This window comes from Homo sapiens, chromosome 3 (genome assembly GCF_000001405.40).
Source record: "Homo sapiens chromosome 3, GRCh38.p14 Primary Assembly".
NCBI lineage: Eukaryota > Metazoa > Chordata > Mammalia > Primates > Hominidae > Homo > Homo sapiens.
This window is the reverse complement of record NC_000003.12, coordinates 191,948,155-191,971,553: the sequence shown is the minus strand read 5'-3', so window position 1 is coordinate 191,971,553 and position 23,399 is coordinate 191,948,155. Positions and strand designations below refer to the sequence as shown.

Below are 23,399 nucleotides of genomic sequence, written 5' to 3'. Positions count from 1 at the left end.
TTTTGTATAATTCTAGTTATTTTTTCATAAGTCACCTAATAGTTCCAAAAGCTTCCACAAGTCTGAGGCTTTTTATCCTGACCTGACAGAGCTATGGAAGAAACTCCTCAAAAAAACTGCTTTTATAAAAATTGACAATTTATGCATCCCAAAAAGCACCATTTTTTCCTTTGCTCTGAAGCCTGATTTTTTAATCTACTAAAAAAAAAATAAAAAAATAGGAAGAAAAAGAGAGAAAAAAAGATGAAAGCAGGACAAGACATCACAAAAGAACACTGTACCAAAGAAGAAAACAGCATCTCCTGATTGCAGTATTAACAAGCACTTGATTATAGAAAAAAGTGGCTTTGAAACACAATATTTCAAATAACTTGACAGAAGCTATTTTGAGCGATGCTATAAAATCTTTCATATTTCCTATTAAAATTTATAAGTGATATATAAATAATAACAGTGAGTATACATATTTCTCAAAATGAAATATCAAATGGAACTATTTTTGTTGGCTAGAATCTCATGGGGCTTCCTGGGTACAGTTGATACATATACTTCAAATGTCATTTTACACTCTCTAGGCTAATAGCTGCTGGAGACTGACGTGCTCTAACAAATTTATACTAAATGAATGCATGTAAATGCCTTGGAAATAATCAATATGGTCAGATCTCTGAAATTCCATTTACTTTGTAGTTCCATTGAGGTCACACCTTCTATATCAATCATAAGAATTTTAATGGGAATAGATATAAACTGCATATAGAGTTACCGTTTTCAGTCACCCATCTTCAAATATTGGCATAATCTTTTTCATCACCTCTCTAGAGTCTGATATCTAATCAACTGCCAAATCTTGTTGATTTGGCACTAGTCGTGGGAGAAGGGGAGATTTAGCACTTGTTCTTCATTTCTTCAACTATTACTTTAAAGGAAGCACCATTATTTCTTCCTTGAGCAATTGCAAGAGCTCTATTCAGATTCCTATTTCTCTTACATTTCTTTAATCAAGTCAACAATTGTATGCTGCCTGGTTAACTTTTCAACAATACTAACACGATCATGTTTTGGTTTTGTTTGTAATCTTCCAATGGTTTCCATTTTATTTCGACAATATATTCCAAGTACTTTTAGCCTGACATTCAAGTTTCCAGATGACTTCTCACTAGGTCATCTTTTTCAAACATCTTTTTTCCATTACTCCTTTCATAAACTTTATATTCAAAACTTCAAAGTCTCTAAGATTTTCATACTATGTACCACTGTTTATTGAAGTATTTTATAGCAATGCTTTTAACCTTCTTGCCTTGAAGAAAACCTTGACAAACATATGTAATGGCTAGACCTCTTTTTACAAGTGATTTTAGTCTTTTAAAAAAGGACTTACTATCGTGTCCAGGCTGGAGTCCAGCAGATATTCAGAGGTGGGATCATAGCACAGGACAGCTTTGAACTCCTGGGCTCAAGATCTTTCTGCCTGAGCTTCCCAAGGGACTATAGACTTGTGCCACCACATTCAGTGAACTTTAGCCATTTGTTATAAAAACACACAAAAAACCTACTATCAATCACGAAGGAAGGTTATTTCAGCTCTGGCAAGTATTATTAATATAAAATGAAAAGACTGTGTGCTGACGTCTTAATTTCTGTTTGGTGGAAGAAATCAACTATCTTTAAGATAGGGTGGTATTTTCTGGTCAAGGAGGTCATAATTCAATTAAATATATTAGATAAAAATGAAGAAACCCACATTAATTAAAGTGAAAAATAGGCAAAGTGAGCTCACTTCTATATTATCATCTGCTGTTTCACTTACTAAGAACTTTTTATCATCATTTCTCTCTAACAAAAATGGACAATATTAATGCACATATATCCTTTAAGTTATTCTGGTTTTAACGAGATTCAAACTTTCTTCTCCTGAAGGGTTTTGAGAGGTGACTCACTGTTGAGAACTAGATTTAATGAGATCCCATTTAATCAAAAGTTTTGGGAATATGGTATTTCATATAATTGAATTCTTCAGACAACTCAAATTTACCCTCTATAATTTGTTTTAATACTGTTTGAAAATGGATAAAACCATTGTTTTCTATAGCACAGGATATTGGTCCATGTTTTGTTGATATTGAGGATTATCATTATGAATAACCATTATGTTATCATAGAACAATATAGTCTACCTATGGTGGCTTTAATATCTTCTTCTCTAATGTTGTGGGGTTAGTTGGCATTTCTTTCATAATAATTTTGCTTCACAATAAGAATACTTATTTGGTTCTCTTTTTTTTTTTTTCCTTTTTCCTGTTTTTATCTTTTGGGAGGTATAAAACAGCCAAGTTGAAATCAGTAACTATATACTATGTAAAAGGGGCAAAATACCTTTATATGGTAGTTCACAATTTATAAAACACTTCAACATATTGTTTTGTGTAATAATCAGTGCAAAAATGAGTGCTAGATATCATTATCTTCACTTTATAAATAAACACAAACTCAGATGAAGCAGACCAGATTTTGTAAGTCCGTATAGCCAGTAAGTTTTAACTGTAGGCCTTGAACCCTAAGCTTTTGACTCCATGTACAATATACTTTGCATCACAGCACACTTGTCAGTAATTTTCTGATCTTCGTCAGCCTCCTTTTTTTTTCCCTTGGGTTCAAAACTGTCTGAATAGAGGTAAAGTCTCCTAATGTAAGGTTACTGACTAGATGTTGGCTACTGTGCTTTTTTATCTAGGAATACAAAAGCTAAATACAATTCAGCTCTACTCATTGTAAAATATAGTCCTGGATACCTTGACTATCAGATATTGTTAATTCCTAGAAGACGTCAAATACGGCTGCTTATATGGACTTAGAGAGAGTCTACCAGATGTTTGTGGGGACACTTAAGTGATTCTTTTTAATAAATAATTATTAGGAAAAAATACAGTAAGAACTTCCACTTGCAGAGGTTCCTAGCTGAGTCCAAACTAAATTGACACAACATAGGGGTGTGGGTTTAGGGGACTAAAATCTGAGAAAGAAGCAGGCTTCCAGATCTTTCTAATCACGTGACCTTGTGGCAGAGCACAAAAAGAGAAAGACGAAGACAATGGGAAGATCGGTATAGACTCTCCCTCTTCATTTAGAATGGATTTAATGTCCTACAAAGAAAAAGATTAGTCCTGAAGCTGAAGACTCTACCTTCACAAAATACTTTACAAGTCTCTGGTGGGTATAAGGAGTATTATTTCCTAGCCCACATGATAAAAGTGACTCCTCATTTGAATAAGGGTATCCTTTCTATTTTTACATGGGACCCCAAAAAATTGTGGCACTGAGAATCTAGGTGTGTTTTCCTAGAAATCTTGCTCTCATGGTGACCTCCTGGAGGGCAGAGATTGAAATAAAAATGGGATAAGTAAAGCAAGAGAATAAAAATAGAAAGAGAATTTAAAACTATCATTATCTTGTGATGATTATACCTGACTTTCATTTGTGAGGCAAAGGAATGAGTTTTCTTTAAGATACTGAAGACCACATGTGAGAACACTATGTGTGGAAAGTGGAGGAAGACAGAGTCAGAATGGGAAGAAGGGGATGTATAGGAGAAAAAGACTGGGATTTTGTTCTGTTGATGAATATGAAACATCTTTAAGGTCCATAGGCTGGGGGCCCAGGCAGTATTGTTCAACAGTGCAAATACAGATAGAAGCAAGGACAATAGGTCAGCTGGATATCATGGAATTTTTCTACTATACTAAAATGGAGAGAGTTTTTTAAACTGCCAAAGGTTTTTTAAAAAATGAACCAAGTTTCTTAGATTCCCTATTTAAGGAAGATTCCAGAAAATGAGAGCACACTACTCAATTACTAAACTTCTGTTTTCTTCTCTGCTAGATTAATCCTTAGGCCAGATCAAATAGAGGAAATCATCTGAAAAATAAATTTTGTCTGTAATAAGTAAGATTAATATAGCCAGCTATTTTAATAAATTTAGGCTCCTAGATGTATAAATTTATTGGCTAGTTTATTAGGAAAGCATAGAGAATCAGGTGGATGCCTGAAAACTAGGTTTATCTAAGATGATTTATGTTTAAATGCACTAAAGAAGAGCTGTCTCCTAGAAGCCACAGCGTATTCGAGCAGAAAAGAACCCTAAATATCAAGTATGACTTACTTTTCAAAATAAGGAAATTAAATCAAAGGGAGGGAAATTAATTTGGCACAAGTGAGTCCTAAAAAAAGTATCAAGCTCTTGACTTTTGCTCAGTGATTTTTTTTCTTCTTTTTGTCATATTTGGGTTCTTTGGAGATAATCTCAAGCATTGCTATGAGAAGGTAAAATAACACCAACTGCTAAAACCATATTGAGGCTAGAGTAAGGCAACTCATCATTATAAAGAGAATTTAATTTGGTAGATTTTCATCTCATTGATGCTCAGATTTTGAGTTAACAAATATATCAATCACTGAGTAAATAGTAAGGATGACTCATTATTACATTAAATAAAAGGACTGCAGATAGAAAAATCACGTTTACTTTTGAACATTCTAGTACAAAGTAAGAAAAAGAATACTAAGACTGTAGATATTTTTAACAAAACAGAGAGGAAAACACAAGAACAGCTATTAACTGGTTAAAAAGCATTTGACACTAGAAGCAAAAAGGATGCGGTTAGCGTGAGATTTTTCTTTTCCCAAAAAGTGATAGATTTCCTTAGTGCTTTAATAATAACATGGCAGTATCTGTATTTCCCCAGGAATGTTTTATTCAAAAGAAGTTGCTCCATATAAATGACTGTTAATAGGCTATAGCTCATAAAGCAATAAGTTATCTAGGTACATCAACAAAGGGAGTATAAAATTACATAGTAAAACCTTCTGGTTGAACCAGATATCAGAGAACATGGTTTACGGCTTTGAAAATGGAAAATGAATTTATAGTTTGAAGTGTCAAAAAACATAAGCCTGTACCTGAATATTCTGTGCCCAATTAACTGATAGTATGTCTCTATTTTTAGTGAAAGTCTAGAATAAAGCTTAATATATAGTATAAAAGGCTGCCTTACATGTCCAAAAACGTCAAATTATTATAGAGGCATGATTTCTGCTTTGAAAATTTTATTAAAAATTTTCAGCAGCTTAATTTTTATTGACCAGATGTACATTGTAGATCCCTTATGTGCCATACATGGTTGTAGGGACCACTGGAGATCCAAACATGGTGACCTCCCCTGAAAGTTTTATTATTTATGAAGCAAACACTTACTGTGACATAAGACTGAGAGTGATCTGTTGAAATAGATGCACAAATGGAATCTACTTCGACAAATGTGAGATAGTAATGCAAAAGGACAAAAAAAGATTCATCTTAGTTTGGGTGTTTTGGAAAGGCTTTAAAGAGAAACAGGGTTTGGGGAGCTGACCCCTGAGGCAGAAGGTGAGCAGAGTATTCCAGGCAGGAATTGTGTCCAGCAACAGGAAAGTTCCCAATAAGCTTGGAGACAGAGAAGTAATTGGCTGAAGCTGCAAAACAGGAAGAAATGGAGAGATATAGAATGAAGGAAGGCTTCTGTATGTTGTTTCATTTCCTGTCACTGTAAACTAATTCATCGTGTGGCTTTTGTGGGAGATCACACACAAGAAGGCTCCAGGAACAGCTCATGGAAGGGTCCTGAACCTTCGATGAGAGATGGAAGCAGTGAGCTTCCTGCTGTATATTTCTTGCAGCAAATTAGAAGCAGAGACTTCTCTAAATCACCAGTGACCTTCTTCATATTCCTCTATTTCCTCAGGTAGCATTTATCTAAACTCAAAACTCAATCTATCCTAGTTCCTGGTTATGTTAAATTTATCTCCACTTCTTACATTACCTGAAAGTTCATTTTTTATGTCTTTTTTATTTTTATTTTTTTTTTGAGTCAGAGTTTTGCTCTTGTTGCCTAGGCTGGAGTGCAATGGCACGATCTCGGCTCACCACAACCTCTGCCTCCCAGGTTCAAGTGATTCTCCTGCCTCAGCCTCCCAAGTAGATGGGATTACAGGCATGCGCTACCATGCCTGGCTAATTTTATATTCTTAGTAGAGAAGGGGTTTCTCCATGTTGGTCAGGCTGGTTTCGAACTCCCGGCCTCAGGTGATCCACCCGCCTCGGCTTCCCAAAGTGCTGGAATTACAGGCATGAGCCACTGCGCCTGGCCATTCTTTTATGTCTTATGCTCATGCTGCTCACAAGCTACCCCTCACTGAAATATTCTTCATCCCTTGTTGGTTTAGGCAGCTACTACTCATCCTTCAAGATTCATCTCCAATAACACTCATTCTGAAGGATTTTCTCACAGCACCTAGGTAGAATAAGTCTTTTAGTTCATCCAAAACTCTTAGAACATTCCATATCACATACCTCAATAACACATGTATTTGTGTCAACTTCATAAGAAATTAAATATGGAGGTATAGCTGAATGGGATCATTAAGATCTGTTGCTTCATAGAACATGTTATCATCATCAAACTGATTGGAATAAATTATGAAATATGTCTACCTCTTCAACAGAAGATGAGTCCAAGGAGAACAAGACATTCCATATCTCTTTGTTGCTAGGACCTAGACTAGTTTAGCCTGGCTACCTATTGGCTTAAAAGATGACTGAAAAAAAAATCCAATCATTTATTCTCATTTGGTTCTATATTACATCTTAGAAATATTTTTTCCATACAAACAGTGCATTACACTGCCAATTAGTATTTTAAAACTTCTGAGTATATTATATCTAAGAGCATTTTGCATAAGAAATTGCACAGAGAATGCTTTTTTTAAGTCGTTGCATCTCTCTACAAACAAAAGTACAAGTGTGAAAGCATTACATTTTAATTGATCATCTCAGTGGAGGATGATGTCCATTTTCTTTGCAATATTAATCACTTCCTATCACAAAGAATGCACCTCTATATACCTATATGTACAGCAGGGTGATGTTCTACTTATAAGCTTGGGAAATTAAACAGAGAAGACATCTTTTGATGGTAAAGAGTAGCAAAGCTGTGATGATTTAGTATATGACTGTTTATGGTAATAAGTAAGTTATTTAAGTTGTTATGATATGCTTAAAATACTTTCCTGAAACAGGTTGCTTTTTTTTTGTCTTTTTTTTTTTTTAGAAAGAGCTGAAAAACAAAACAATATGTTTAAGTTTCATGTGTTGTATTGACACTTTTTATGGTCTGATAGGTGGAAAATCCTATTACTGCCCAATAATATTTGTATAGGAAAAGGGTTGGATCACAAGATTTAAGAATGAAAGATGTGAGGAATCAAGTCCCATAACCTACTGTAATTCTAAAGCTTTTGGCACACAATTAAAAGGACACCAGGCTGGGCACAGTGGCTCACGCCTGTAATCCAAGCACTTTGGAAGGCTGAGTTGGGTGGATCACCTGAGGTCAGGAGTTCGAGAACAGCCTGCCCAACATGGTGAAACCCTGTCTCTACTAAGAAATAACAACAACAACAACAAAAATTAGCCAGGCATGGTGTGGGGCACCTGTAATCCCAGCTACTCGGGAGGCTGAGGCAGGAGAATCACTTGAACCCAGAAGGTGGAGGTTGCAGTGAGCTGAGATTGCGCCACTGCACTCCAGCCTGGGAGACAGGGAGACTCTGTCTCAAAAAACAAACAAACAAACAAACAAAAGGACACCAGGATATAGTTCTATCAATATGACTGATTAATAATAGCATGTGGTTGAAGCTTTACATAATAGATGAATATATGATTGGACATAATTTATTCACTGCCACCTTTTCCAGCTACTTTTTTTTCCCCCAGCCAGAGTGTGTTTCTGATGCCAATCGTGTCTTCCTTCTGTGCCTACTTTGTGGAAGACAATTATGGAAGAAAGAACATCCTCTTCACATACTTTTTTACTGTCTTTTTATGATTATTCCATTTAAAAAATATTCCTGGAATCTGTATTTTAAGATGAGGTATATGAAAATAGAATGAGCATGCTCCTAGAGAGCATATTTTATATTACCTACTGTGTAATAGAGAATTTGGCCAGGCTTTGTTCCCACTTCCTAGGAGGTAAATTCTAAATCCTAGGAATTTTTCACAGTGTCTTTGTGATTCACAGTGGGACCACATCTGATACTTTATGCTAATGAGGTGACTCACAGCGGGGGCCCCCTAGATAGCTTATGCTAAGGAAATGACTCAGGATGGGGGGCCGGCCACAACAGAAAGACCAACCAGGTGATGCCGTGTTTGAGGCTTTGAGCCATGTGATATCAGTCTGACCTCTGTGGAGATTGGGTTCAACTGTGTGACCTATGACTGAATAAGTCATACTTATTAATGAAACCCCAATAAAAACTTTCTGCATCAAAGCTGAGGTGGGTGTCCCTGGTTGGCACTCCTCTATGTACTGTCACACATTGATGTACTGGAAAAGTAATGCATCCTTGGTGACAATGGAAGCTTTGCAAGTGAGAGCTTCCCACACCTTGCCTTATGCATCTGTCTCTTTGGCCAATTCTGATTTGTATCATTTTTGATATAATAAAATGGAAATCATAAAAATAGTGCTTTCCTGAATTCTGTGGATCTTTCTAGCATGTTGTCAAACCTAGAGAACAATGGAAGCCCCTGAAATTGTAGCCGGCTGGTCTAAAGTGAGGGTGACCTGAAGACTCCTAAACTTGTGTCTGGTGTCTGAAGTGAGGGCGTCAGTATGGCAGATTGTGCCCAAAGCCTGTGAAGTTTGGCTTAACTTTGAGTATTTGTTGTCAGAACTCATTATACCTACATTATTTTTCCGTACAGGTGAATTTGAGCGCAGGTAAAGCTTAGTGATTAGGGAAAAAACCTGAGAGGGGAAATGAGGTCTAATCTCCCTCATCCCAGCGTTCCTTATGTCATACCATGCTAGATATTAACACAAAATCTTATCTTTATATCCACAATAAAATTGTGATAGGGAATAAATCAAAGCAAGGAAAGGAATGGGCTAACAATGTGAGCAAAATCCCAAAGCTCTTAACTACTATTTATGGAAGGCTTAGTAGATGCTGGGTGCTTTGCTAAGCACTTGAAAGCCACAATCTGATTTAATCTTCACAACAAAGATCTCCATTCTACAGATGAAGAAGCTGAGGCTCATGGAATCTAAGAAACTTACATAAGCCAACAAAGATAAGAAGTACAGAGTTAGCATATTGGGGAGGCAAAATAAAATCTTACAATAACAGATTCTGGAGGCAGTCAACCTTGATTCCTAAACAGGCTTCATTTGAACGGTGCCATGTTCTATGACTAATCTTTCAATCCTTTCTGCAAAGAAATACTATATTTTAAATTAAAACGATTTTTTAAAAGAGCTAGTACGTGAACGCAATGCAATCTCTCCCTTCGATCACCTTTTTTCACTTTATTTTTCATACTTGTAGTTAAGAAGTAAAGTTTAAATTGTTAATGAAGAAACAAATTTTGTATAGTATTTTAAAGAGGCTTATTCTGAGCCAGTATGACTGACTATACAGCTCACAGAAACAGTCTCAAAGAGTCCTGAGAAGGTATATCCTAGGCAGTTAGATGACAGCTGGGTTTCATACATTGCAGGGAGGCAGGAGTTACAGGCAAAGACATAAATCAATACATGGAAGGTGTACATTAGTTCCTCCCAAGAACATGGGATGTCTTAAATCAGGGGCTTACAAACCATAAGTGGATTCAGAGGCTCTTTAATCTGCAAATAGTTAAGGGACAAAATTTTGTCTAAAAACTTGGAGTTAGCAGGAAGGAATGTTTACATTAAGATAAAGATGTGGTGTCAGTCAGCTATAATGTGACCTGTTTAGCAAGATGAATGCCCTGCAGATGTGACTTACCACTTGCCTTGCATGGCCTTAGGTTTTGTTTATAATTTGGTATCTTACTGCCACAAAGAGTCTGTTCTGTCAGCCTCAGGATCCCTGTTCTAACATTAATGCTGGTCTGTGGTTGTGCCTAAACTCCAAAAAGGAGGTGGTATAATGAAGAGTGTCTGACTTTCCTTCCCATCATGGCTGGGAACTCAATTTTTAAGGTTTCTCTGGGGTCCCCTTGGCCAAAATGGGGCTCACTCAGCGAGGGGCTTAAGATTTTATTTTTTCATCTACAAAACGATTTGCATGAGATTTTTGCTTGCTTTTTCGAAAAGTTTTAACAGGAACTATTAGATAACAACCCATTCAAAGTAAGAATGCGGACTGAACATTATGTGGCCTTGAGAAAATTTCTTGTCCAGTTGAAGAGTCAGCTTTTTCTTCCGTTAAAAGGAGACAAGAATGCTCATTGTGTCACGTGGTTGCTGTGAGCTATAACTCCCTAGCTCAGTGCCCAGCACATAGCAAGCACTTGACAATAATTTCTGCCAGAGCTTGCATTGTCAGTAATTTTATTGATTAATGTCACTCAAGTGATTCAACTATTGCTGCTTAGTAAAATATGTACTTCTCTTTTGTATACTTGTTTGGTAGATGAAGGAATATTGAGGAAGGAATCAAATGATAGAGTACTTAGCCTGATGGTAAACTAGCTGACTTAAAGCTTGCTATTTTACTTTTAAAATGACAATTCTCTGAGTCAGTGTGAATGTCAACTCAGATAAGAAGATCTATTTCACTGGAATCCTTCAAGTTAAATGCAGTATAGAACATATTGACAACATCAAATTGATTTAAATAAATGATAAGGAATTCACCTATCTAAAGCTGTGCCCAGTGGCTCATGCCTGTAATCCCAGGAGAGAGGCCGAGGTGGGAGGATCACCTGAGGTTGAGGGTTCGAGACCAGCCTGACCAACATGGAGAAACCCTGTCTCTGCTGAAAATATAAAATTAGCCAGGCATGGTGGCACATGCCTGTAGTCCCAGCTACTCGGGAAGCTGAGGCAGGAGAATCACTTGGACCCGGGAGGTGGAGGTTGCGGTGAACGGAGATCGAACCATTGCACTCCAGGCTGGGCAACAAGAGCAAAACTGTCTAAAAAAAAAAAAAAAAATTCATCTGTCTATATTGGAGATGTAGAAATTATCCTATAAATCTCATCAGCCTATGTAACATATTTGTGAGATGTGGCTGAAAAGAAAAATGATTTTCAATTGGAGCAGAATGCAAATTGATAACTTAAGACAGTAATCACATATGAAGAAAATATTACTAAAATATTGAAAGGAGTACATGGCAATGGAAATTACAAAGAACGAAGGAGCCAGGATTCTCCCTCACTCAGGGCCAGATCCTCCCTGCACTGCTGTTTTACTCAATTCCTTCTGGCATCTACATTGTCATGATTAAGTAGGATAAATGTTTCACAATGAGCTTTGGAGCGTGCAATAGAAAAACAAGGCTGAATTACCAAGAATAGCAAAGAGCTTCTCTAAATTATTTCGTGTCTCAAGGACACAAGGCTGTGTGCAGAGGTGAAAAGCAGTTAAAAGAAAAACTGACTACTCACACAGCAACCACAAGTTGTTAAGTTTAACTTTTCTCAGTTGATTAGAAAGAACTGAAAAAAAGAACTGTTCATTGCTTTTAAATAGTCTGATGCTTTTCTTCCTTTAACAATATATATGAGTCCTAGGTCCTCATTTATTCATTAAAATCTACAAAGCTATTAACAGCACGATGTGAGGCATAAACATTTCTGTTAATTAGAAGGCATCCCATTAATTAGAAAATTTACTAGACAGCCAGGTGGTTCTGTGAATTAGCTTATGGTCAATTCTGGGAAAATAATACTGTTTTCTAAAATATGAATATATTTGAGGGCAAATTTTTAAAAATAAAAAAAGATCTGGATAATAGGATTGATTAATCACTGGAAGATTGTGTGTGTGTGTGTGTGTGTGTGTGTGTGTGTGTGTGTGTGTGTGTGTGCCTGTGCATGGAGAGAGTCAAGGTTGCCAGCCCTAGAAACATATTAACCTTTAGTGTGTTAAAACTTGTATCATAATAGTATATACCTATAAAGAGTAATACAGATACTCCTGTTATAAGGTGCCTGCACTAAGCACCCTCTTGTAACTTTACACTAAAACAGCTATGAAGACAAAACAAACAAACAAAAATTGAAAACTGAAAGTAATGAAAAACTAGTACTACAATTATGAGGCAGATGCAAATGACTAAAATTTTCAAAGTTTAGCTTACAATGTATCTTGCTTTTCTTTTTAAAATACATTATTGCCGAAAATATAAGTTGATCCATCTTTATTTATCTAGGCAGAGGCTCTGTAGCCAGAATTCAACATGGCAGTTAGTAAGGAAATAAATGAAGATCACTCAAATGAGAACAAACAAAGGCTATTCAGAGCTTGCTACAGCAAGGAAGTTAGCTACTAACCTGTGTGCTTTACAGAGACTCAAGAGCAGACAGAGGAATGAGGAAGCTTTATAGAGGAAGAAAAAGAAGGTTTTATGTACGCCCTGAGTAGAGGCTGTTGACATGGGAATGTTGAAGGCAGGCTAACTAGAAGCAGAGCATCCTGTGAGATTGGTTTAGGATGTATATTTGGCTTTCTCTGGTTGATCCTACGTTGGAAGCAGGAGCAAAAATAGAGAAGGCTGTTAGTTATCAAGCCTCGGCTATTTGGGATCTATTGCTACAGGGGTTAGTGTTTGGCTTCCTGGACTGGTACCGTCTTCCTGAACTGGTCACTGTAAATCGTAGGTAGGCTTCCTGGGCTGCTTTTGTAGGTAGTAGGCTGGCCTACTGGGTTGGTTGCTGCAGTTTGTGGTTAGAATTCTATGTTTATATATGGACTGCCTATGGTGTATTTGTATATTCAGTCTCTCATAAGAATTGGGATCTGGCAGTGACATGTGGCAATTGAGAGGGATAATCCTCACAAGAAAAGTACCATAGAAGTCAACAAAAGTGGGCAGCCACAAGTGTCTATGTTTGCTAGCAATTGTGCTTTTTATGTATTACATCAATTTAAATTAATGAGGAACCCGCCAGAAGGAGACAGAGGAAGATGCTACCTGCAATAGTTAATTGGATAAAAGCCAGTTCAGTGTTACATGCAGAGCTGTGCACCTATGTCCATCTTCTCCTCAGCTACAGATCTCAGGAGGGTTACACCACCCCCCAGGTGGACCCAGGGAAATTCCAAGGGTTATCCAATGACAAGACTTTGTCTTTTTATGAAGATGAGTAAGAAAAAATAAACTCAATTAAATTTAATTAATTTTTTATTAAAATGGAAGAAAAACATTAAAAAAATCAACATATACCTTAAGGGAAAATTCTACAGAATAAGAGAGCAAACACAGCATCCAGAAGATTCAAAGGAATTGCACAACTTCAGAAAATGTTTTACTGCTGGATCTAAAAGAAAACCACAGTAAACTGTATCAAGATCTTCATTAAAATTAAAGAAGATGCGTCTTCTATGAAAATGGATATGAAAGTCATAAGGGGAAATTTTCCTTTGATGAAAATGGAGATGGAAGAGATAAACAAATATGTAAAGAAAACTGAAAACTAAATAGCAGAATATGAATCTTCATTGCAAGTATCAAATCAATGATATAGCTCACAAACTTGAAACCCCCTCAGGATGAGAGGAAAAAGGCGTATTTCTATAAAAGATGAAAGACACCATTGATACGGCCAGCGGGTAAGCCAAAAACTTACAGACAATTGATATTTCTGAGGAAGAGATAGAAACAAGGAAAGAAAAAAGCTATCAAATAATAATAATGATCATATGAAATAATTACAACTAACATTTATTAAAGGCCTATTATGCCTCAAGCCATATGCCTGTATTTTATTTGGATTGTTAAATTTAATACACACAACAGTACCATGAGTAGTTATATAATAATTCTAGTTAATCAACGAGAAAACTGAGCTTAAAAGGGTATAATAATATTCTCCTAGGTTACTAAATAAAGATTTGCTTATATAATTTTATTTTTTTAAAAATCAGTCAATATATGGATACCTATATATACTTTGTCAAAAATTTTTGTACTGTTAATAAAAAAAATGCGAGTATTCTAGCTTTTCTTTCTTTCACTGTCATCTCTTCCCTTCCTCCTTCTCCATCCCTCCCTCCTTCCCTCAGCAAGTAATTCTAACTTGATGTGTTCCACCACCACAACCAAAAACTCATTAGGAAGGACCTCTATGTCTCTCTAACCAACAGCTATTTTTAGTTATGGTTTACATGACCTGTTGGCTGATTTGTCATTGTTGATCAATGCTTCTTAAAATTCTCCCTTTCTTTGGACCCTGTGTTGCCATGCATTTTTGCTTTCCATGTGCTATCCTATCTTTTTGAATTAAATAAAGGTTGCCTGTAAGAAACCGTGGCACAAAGTAAGCTCTCAATACTTACATGTTTTGTTTTCATATTATAAATTCTGAGACCTTGCACTTTCAACAACTGATGTGCAAAATTCTACTTTTGCAATGCCACTGTTCATGCCACTGAATAACTTAAGAAGTCTCCAGTTTCATGTGATCTTTAGTTCAAAAGAAAATATTTGTTGAAGTATCTCAAGTCTACTTGAGCCCAAAATAAACTGAACTGGAAAATTCAATCTACCATTGTTCCGTTTTACATTTTAAAATTCTGTGAAAATGACAAAGAGTCATACTTTGGAAAGTCAAACATACATAATAATCCCATCTTTAAAAGTTATCTTAATGAGAATGGGAGGAAATGGGGAATCACTGTGAACTGTGAATGTACATCACTGCTTGAATGTTCCTGCCTTTCCTGTAAATTATTTTGGTTATGAGGAAAGAAAAGAGGCACAAAAAGAGAAGGTAAGAAGACTGTCCTCTCCCCAAGTGAGCCTCATTTTTCCCCATCTGGAAAATGGAGTGGTTCTACATATCACAAGAGGCACTGAGTATAAAAATACAGAGCAAAATTGTGTTTCCACATAAAATTATTTTATGTATTAATCCATTTATCCAAAAAATGAAAATTTTTTGGATAAAATGTAAAGTACTATGTGGCAAGTACTTTAAAAAACAGACACATGTCATAAGTACAATACCGCAAAGAACCAATGTTCTGATGGAGAAGATAGGCCAGAAACTAAATGACCCCAGAACAATTTAATAATTGCTATAAAAGAGACATGAACAAAGTGTTGCTAGGTGTCTCATCATCTCTTCCTTTAACTTTTCCAAGTCCTCTGTCAATATTTTAGGTCTTATCCTTATGGAGTCTTTTCTCTTTTTTTAACTACTTCTTAACTGAATTATCATAGTCCTCTCTCAGGTTCTAGATTGCCTCATATCCAGTATATTCTCCACCTGACTGATGATTGATTGTATTGAAATATAGATATGAACATGTACTTCTTGCCTACAAATTATTTGACAGCTTCTCAATGTCAGCAAATAAATTCCGTGCTCCTTAGTTGAGCACAATCTTTCCTAATCTACCTCCTGTCTAGCTCACTAGTCTCATCCCTTCACTCCTCTAGAAATACGCTTAGTTCCAGTTTTATTGAAGTAGTTATTTTTAAAAACTAGCAGATTATTTCCCTCACCTGGGCCTTCATTCATGCTATTTTCTTGTACAGGGTTAACAACTCATTTCACGTGATTTTAGCTTAAATATTAGCTTTTCAGAAAGGCCTTCTTGACAACTCTTCCTAAAGTAGCCCTGAGTTAATCCTCTTATATATTGGCTCCCCTGTATCATGTCATCCTGTCACTGCCTTTTTCTTTGTTTTCTTGTGTAATGTGAGTCTCTCCCATTGGAATATTGCACCCTGAAGCAGGGAAATTGTCTGTTTTGGTCACTGTTTTATCCTTTGAGTTTAATACAGTTTCTGTAACATAATGGCTGTTCCATGAATATGTGTTGAATAAATAAAGTAAGCTCGCCCATATACCAAACAGATTCACGAGCTCTTTCTGCTTCTGCATGACTCATCTGCATGGAAGACAGAAAAAATTGGGGCATTTGATCTTGATCCTAAATCCAATTTTCTAGGAAAATAATCATGCCCTACAAGGATATGTTGGTAGTTTAAACTGGAACGAGAAATTCCCCCAAATCCCAAAACACATTCCCCCATTTTATGATGATTGATTTATATACAGGCTCACGTTTATGTTTCTCTAAGCAAGGCTCTTAATTTTTGACTCCCTATCCACCTCAGGTTAATCTTCAAAATCCCATTCCTGCCTTTTATTTTGTTCTATACGAAACTGTTCTACATATCTGTGGATTAATGTTGTGGCTTCATAGCGACAAACATATCATAAAAATGTTAAAATACGTGGCTTGCTTAATACTTCTCAGTAATTTCCTTTGTTCCTATTTATTTGACATGTGATTCATATATTTATGTAATCATTTAATAGATGTCTACTTGAAAAGTGCTCTATGCAAAGCACTGGGGGAAGCGCTAGCAGAAAATGTAGACTCTTCTCTGAAAATGCTCAGCATAATGTTGGGAATGTAAAATTATTAAATCCAAATATAATTGACAATAGCAGCATGACCTGTGAAGAACGCAAATGAGATTGGAGGAGGAAGACTTGAATCATTTTCCTGGATTGAAGAGTAAATTACTGCGTGACATTTGGCAAGTAACTTCACCTTTCTCAGCCGTAGTTTCTTATTTGTAATCCGGGATTTGAATTATACAGCACAAAATTAAATTTCCAATGTATACAGGTCTCTGTAAATTTAGGAAATTAAAATTTAAGCAATGAAATGTTTATCAATCTGTCAAATATTAAAGGAATAAAAATTATAACTTGGCAAATTTCTTTGGAAATGGACATTCTTATAAACTGCAAGCAGATATGTAAATTGGTACAACCTACTTACAAGGCATAAAAATTTGAGCTGAGCATCTAATTCTTAGTTGCAAAAATTTTCATTACAGCCACATTTTAAAAATAGCTAACTGCATAAATATCTAAAATTAAGAAAGTAGATTAGTGTTTCATGGTCCATTTTAACCATTAATTCTATTTCTGGAAGCTATTTAAAGTCCCTACAATGTATCAGACTCAGTTTTAAGTGATGTATATGTATAACTCAATTTAATAGGCACTATTAGTACAGCCACATTGCAGATGAGGTAATAGTTAAACAATTAGCTAGTGCCCGGCTAAAAATAATAGGGTCGGGATTGAATTGAGACAACTTAACTCCACAGCCCAAGCTCTTAGGCACTGTACCAAGTTCCATTATACCATGCCATGAATGGTATGAATCCAAGGTAAAATATACTTGAAATAATTCAGAAATAATAGATGAGAACTGATGAGTATGTGACGGTGGTATATTCTTACCATGATGTACCACTTATAATGGTAGTAAAAATGGAAAGGGAAAAATAGCCTGATATATGTGTGGCAAGCATTGTGGAGAATCAAATTGAATGTTGAGGGAAATAAAATAAGTTAATGGGGTTAATCAATAAGGAGATCAATAATTAAAATAATAATGCAACTACTACTTATTAGGAACTTACTATATTTCAAATGCCATGCTGGTCATTTAATACACCATCTTACAAATTAATAAGATTTGATTAGTAGAGATAATTATGTTGGATTTCATTTTAAACTCCTGGGGTTTGAGGTGCCCAAGGGGCACCCTATTGAGATATTTATAGGGAGTGAAGATGGAAGTGAATGATGCAGAATAAATCAGAGAAGATGCTAGGAGGAGGTTCTTCTCAAGAGACATAGGAGTCTTAGAAAGCATAGGGCTAAATTGGTATCTACGTATCATATAGTGTGTGTGTCTCTTCACTGTTATCAGCATTAATTCTATAAGATGCAGAACTCACACTCATCCAAAAGAAATCAGTTCTTTTGTGTGTGTGTGTAACTGATCTAATTTTTCTTATTAGCCCTTACCTACTATGTGGTAACAAAACAAATACACAAATAGGTAAACTAACTTTAAACACTCTCTATTATCTGAACTGTCTCGGTGTACATTACTTTTCAAAATTAAGATAAAAGTAGAAGAAACAGTATAAACCCTAATTACCAATCACATAATTTAATAATCAGTAGCATTTGGCAAGTTAGTTTTTCCTTTTTTCTTACTCTATTTTTAGAAAGTTAATCACAAACGTCATTCCATTTTACCTCCTAAATACTTTATATGTATCTCTAAAAATCAGATTTTTTCTTTATATATTTTCTATGATTATTGTACCTTAAAAAGTAACAATATTTTAATACCACTTAATATACAGTCTTTTTTATTTATTTATTTATTTTTTTTGAGACGGAGTCTCGCTCTGTCGCCCAGACTGGAGTGCAGTAGCACAATCTCGGCTCACTATGCAGTCTATTTTTTAAATCCTCTAATTGTCCCCAATGTGTGTTTGTATGACTTTGTTCAAAGCAGGATCAAATCAAAGACATCAACTGAATTTTGTTAAGCCTGTAAGGTTTTTTGAAATTTAGAAGTGTCCTACGTTTTTCTTTTGATATACCATTGATTGACCTGCTGAAGACACCAGGCGGATTATCCTGTAGAATAACCCAACGTTTGGGTTAAACTCTTTCAGAGAGAATACGTTGGATGATGCTGGGTGCTTCCTACCGCATTATGTTAGAAGGCACATGACTTCCAGTTTTCCCACTGTTCGTGATGCTAAGGTGGATTACTATGTTACAGAGTTTGTGCAGCCTCTCCGGGCGGTGCTCCTCCGCTTCGCGCCGCTACGTGGGCCTGCCGCGCTGCTGCTCTGGACCTTGCCCCTGCCCCTGCTCAGCTCCATCGCCTTCACCATCGTGGCGATGCCCAGGATGGCGGCAGCAGGCCCCCCGCAGGATGGCTGCCAGAGCCTCGTGGAGTACGTAGGAGGAAGAGCAGCCGCTGCCATGCTCTTCTGTGGCTGTATCATGCTGGTGACCTGTTTCATCCTCACCTTCTTTGCCCTCTGTGCACCCCTGACGCTAGTCCTCCTAAGAGTGAGTTGGAGGCCTCCCTACCCTGGCTGCTGTGTTGCAGGTCATCTCCCTGGTAATCAACCCTGTGAAGTATACCCATACCTTCAATCTTCATGCCAACCCCGCCGTCACATCACATGTGTCACTGGACCCGTGGCTTCCCGTGGGTGGCCACAATTATCCTGATTGGCTGTCCTTTCTCCTTCTGCTGCGGCCCGAAGGGCGAAGACAACCTCCTGGGAGGCGCCAAGCCCAGGTACTTCCACATCCGCCTGGCTGGGGAGGAGACCCGGAGAAGACGCTGCCGAGAAGGACTCCAGAGGAGGAGGCTGTTTCCCTAGGCGACTTCCAACCTGTTTTTTGGCAGTGTTCACATTATTAAATTAGTAGAAAACGCTACAATAATTTGGGAGAAAATATTGTGTTATAATTTCATATTCACCTTTTATATATGTTTTTTGGAGTTGACATGTTTGCTTTCACTAACCTTATATCTATCCATAACAGTTATATTACATTTATAAGAGAATATAAACATGAAACTTATCACTTTATACAGTAAAAATGAAAAAGCCTCCAAGACTTAATAATCTGATCAAGTTTTTGTTATTTCCAGATAGAATGGACTGTATCTATTAAGGGCTAAGGAGAAGAGAGAGATATTAGTAAAAAAATTGTCATTGATCAAATATTCTATAAAGAAATGCAAAACAAAAATTTTTTGTGAGCCTTCAATTGTTTAAAGATGCAAAATAGTTTCCTAAATACATATAATTTGTGAGAATTTCTCATTAATATCTTGAATAATTAATTGGTTTTGCTAAGCTTCATGTTGACTTTACATGCCATTTAGGAAATGATTGTCTCATGGCCAAAACATGTTGCAGTGGTAAGGCCTTCTTAAGCAGTAAAATGTTTAGATGAAGTTTTCTCGTTTAAAATTCTTAAAGGGTGAGGGTGTGGGAAAATGCTATATTAATAAATAAATAAATCTGCACTGTTTCGTGTCTATATGTTCAGAACCAAAGTAGACTGGGTTGAAAGATGTACTGGGTCTAATTCATCATGACTCATAGTCCTGATTAGGTTGTGTAGTGAAGCATTAGAAGGGCCATTCCTATCACAGGAGTGCTATTAAAACAGCCTAAGAGGAAGAAACAGCTTGTGTTTTTTTTTTTTTTTCCCTCAGGCCTAACTGGGTTGTAGTCACATAGACACAGCTTCTGGTAGATTGCAACTGCAAGCAGACACCTACATATAGTTAAAAATCTGGTCTTTTTTGGTAAAGAGATGTAAAATGTCTGATGTAAACCATGCAACAGGGATGTGAGTTTCTCTGAAAGGCATATGTATGATATATCGGATTGATTATTACTATTTTTTACCATTTGTACTTACATAATGAAAACGAACTCATTTTATAAATCAAAGTATTATTTTGTAAGTTGTAGAATAAGCAATTGAAATTTTAATTATGACTTTTTCCCCATAAATGAGGTATTCTAAAAAAAGAGTTTGTATAGTTACATTTCCCCTTGCAACCAGATATTTTATGGGTTCATGTTTTGCATTCATGCAGTTATCCCGCTCTCTCTCATCATTTCACTTAATAGTTTCAATGTCCACTGTTGATCTTTGCTTGAATAAGTTATTTTATTAGGGTTGCAAGACTCAATCTCTTTTGGATAAATATTCAGTCTTTCAAACATTTCACACCTCACAAAAATATGCACGTTTTTTTCCCCCAAATTGATAGTTAGGTGCATGAGAGAGTTTACCATGTGCTTGAAGAAAAAAAAAATAGAGGTCCTCAAATCCATATAGAAACTTCTAGATTCTCTTAACTATGGGTATTCTTCAACTTCTGATCCATTCTCTTTTGTCTCAGACAGGACCTGGTGCTGCTACCTATCTGATTTTGTATCTCTGGGTTCTTGTTGGTGCTACATGACTTCTGCTTATCATCTACCACCTTCCCCCTATTGTCCATGGCTTAAGCTGTCCATGACAACACATTGCCATGAAGTTTCCTCATTCTGTGCTAAGATGTGTACTCCATGGAAGGACAAATGTTATTAAAACTGCTGAAACATGTACACCAGACCCCCGTGAAATCACAGGATTCTTGAGTCTCTTGTACATAAAGCAAGTATGGTTTGGGAAATAAGATGAAGAACTAACTGTTTTGGCTTGCCTAAGCTTGAGAGGTTTCCAAGGAAGCAAGAAGTTCAGTGCTAAAACTGGGATACTTCTGTGAAAACCAGTTGCTCATCCTATTGGAAGAGCCAAAAAGAAGTCTTCTCTTTGCCTAATAGTACCACACTGCAGGGTATACTTGGCTGGGGCTGCTCCAGGCTGGCCTGGGGCTGACACACACAGTGGTCTTTCAAAGTCCTCTCTGCCTTCATATCCCTCTCAGCATCTCCAACGTGTCTCTCTTCTGGCACTTTGATCTGGAGATGGCGGGTGGGCAGAATTACTCTACCCTCTGCTTTGTTGGCTCAATGGAATCCTTTATTCTCCCACAATCTCTTAGAAGATGTATGTGTTTCTGTTTTGCTTTTCTCTTTTTGGATATGCAAGGTTGTTCTTCATCCATTGGTGAGACAGCCTAGATGTTTGCTTTTTCCAGGCCATATTCTTTTGACTCAAGCCTTAGTGCTAACTAGTAGACTAGTAACATCCTTACATGTTTCACTAGTTATAGAGAGTTCTCAAGGCTTTGGTTAGAATTTAATCAAAATTCTTTAATAAAAATGTCTCTCTGCCTCAAGTATAAGATCTCATCAGCTGCATTTATATCAATCCAATTGATTCTTCTTGTCAATAGCTATTGAAGAGATCTGTCCAAATGCTGCAAGTACAGGAGATGTTTTCTCAAATGTAAATATGCTTACCAAGCCAGGAAGCTCAGCAACACTCCTCTTATGAGTGCTTTACAGAGGGGTGCCATAGTCTTCCAAGGAAATGAATTTTTCTTCCCCAAGCTTGAGGGAGGAAACACAGTAAAGACTAGGGTACAAGAGAAAAAGATGGCCTTCTTTATAAGGGAACCTGATTGAGAAATATTTCAAGATTATTTTATCTCAAATATCTATTTTACTTCATAGGAAATAATACCTGTCATGTTTTAGGATATAAAGTTAAATTTATGGTGGCTTTATAAATCATGATATATTAAAGGAAAAAAGGCTCCTGAAAAAAGACACACTAGAAAATTCTGTTCTTGCTACTTTCATGATGTGAGTTGGCTTGATGATGAATTAAATGGAATTTGAAAGCATCTGGAGAATATTCTAATATTGGTACTTCTAAAATCTTTGTGAATATTTTTATTTCTCAGTCAGTCTCAGTCAGCATTTTGCCTGATATCCATTTATATGGTAGACGTTAGTTATGTGGCTAATAAAATTCTTTAATATTTGTAAGCCATATGGCATGTTCCTCTTTTAAATTATCTCGAGTGCTATGACTATCAGGGTATAGGTATCACAGGAAATCTACATAGAACGTGGAATGATTTATTCTACAGAGCTTGTAGAAATGGGGTATAAAGTCATTTTTTTCTGAGTGTCTGTTCAACATGGTTTTCTCTTATAACAGACTGTCTATTGTATCTCGACTGGATTAAAAACTCCCAGAAGACAATGTGCCTTCTGGAAGAGAGAGCACATGGAATGATATATAGGTCTTTTCATTTTTTTTCTATGAGGAATATCATAGACAAAGAGGTAGTGCTGGGAGTAGAGTTGCAAAATTTAAGGAGCTGCCCCAAAACTCAGCAACCAAGATAAATATTTTAATGCAACATTTTTAAAATTAAAAAGTTATGCAAATACATTAAATAGCAACTATTAATATTAAAATAAAGATGGGATAAATACTTTGCAGATTTCTTTCTGCTTTAGGCTCTAATATAGTTCTGTATGGCACCACAAGAAAGTTCTTCAAGGAAGGAGCTGTAAGAGGTCAGCTGTCAACGTCTTTAGTGTCTCCCTTAACTGCAGATTCCTCCCCTCCCTGAGGTCCACCCTTGCCAGGATGTCCACATGCATAATTGAAGGAGGCAGAGGTAGAAAGGCCCAGCTATTTTGGCCTGATCAGAGAAAATTCTGAGGCACTGCTCTCTTTAGAATTCCTTGCCAGATTGGCCAGGCTTTATCTCATGTACACCTCAGTTCAACTTCTTCAGCCCAATTTTGTTTCCCCTGCCTTCCTTCACACGTGTTGATCTTTAAAACATCTTGCATCCGAAATTCTGACTTAGTATCTGCGTTCAGAGGACCCAACCTGTGACTGGGTTACAGCTGCCAAACTCAGCTCCAACTAGGTAATATGGTTTAGATTAAAAATGTAAGTTTGCATATTCTCTGGTTTCTTTTCTTAAAAATTTAAAGGTGCTGTTACACGTCAAGCTGTTTAGGAGAATAGGAATTGACTATAGACAATATTCTAGCAATTAACTGC

At 36.5% G+C, this 23,399-nt stretch overlaps 1 pseudogene, besides 2 other annotated features; it reads left to right on the top strand.

Annotated features, from left to right (window-relative positions):
• Positions 7,453-8,652: an enhancer, noted in NCBI's record as "P300/CBP strongly-dependent group 1 enhancer chr3:191680691-191681890 (GRCh37/hg19 assembly coordinates)". NCBI's record gives its function as "activates an origin of replication core promoter dependent on BRD2, BRD4, P300/CBP, MED14 and CDK7 cofactors, with strong dependence on P300/CBP, by STARR-seq in HCT116 cells {active_cell/tissue: HCT116}" and the evidence as "EXISTENCE:reporter gene assay evidence [ECO:0000049][PMID:35650434]".
• Positions 7,700-8,408: an enhancer, noted in NCBI's record as "OCT4-NANOG-H3K27ac hESC enhancer chr3:191680935-191681643 (GRCh37/hg19 assembly coordinates)". NCBI's record gives its function as "activates a minimal SCP1, AML or CMV promoter by ChIP-STARR-seq in primed H9 embryonic stem cells {active_cell/tissue: H9 hESC(primed)}" and the evidence as "EXISTENCE:reporter gene assay evidence [ECO:0000049][PMID:30033119]".
• On the top strand, positions 19,607-20,439 carry LOC100129725 (PERP, TP53 apoptosis effector pseudogene; annotated as a pseudogene).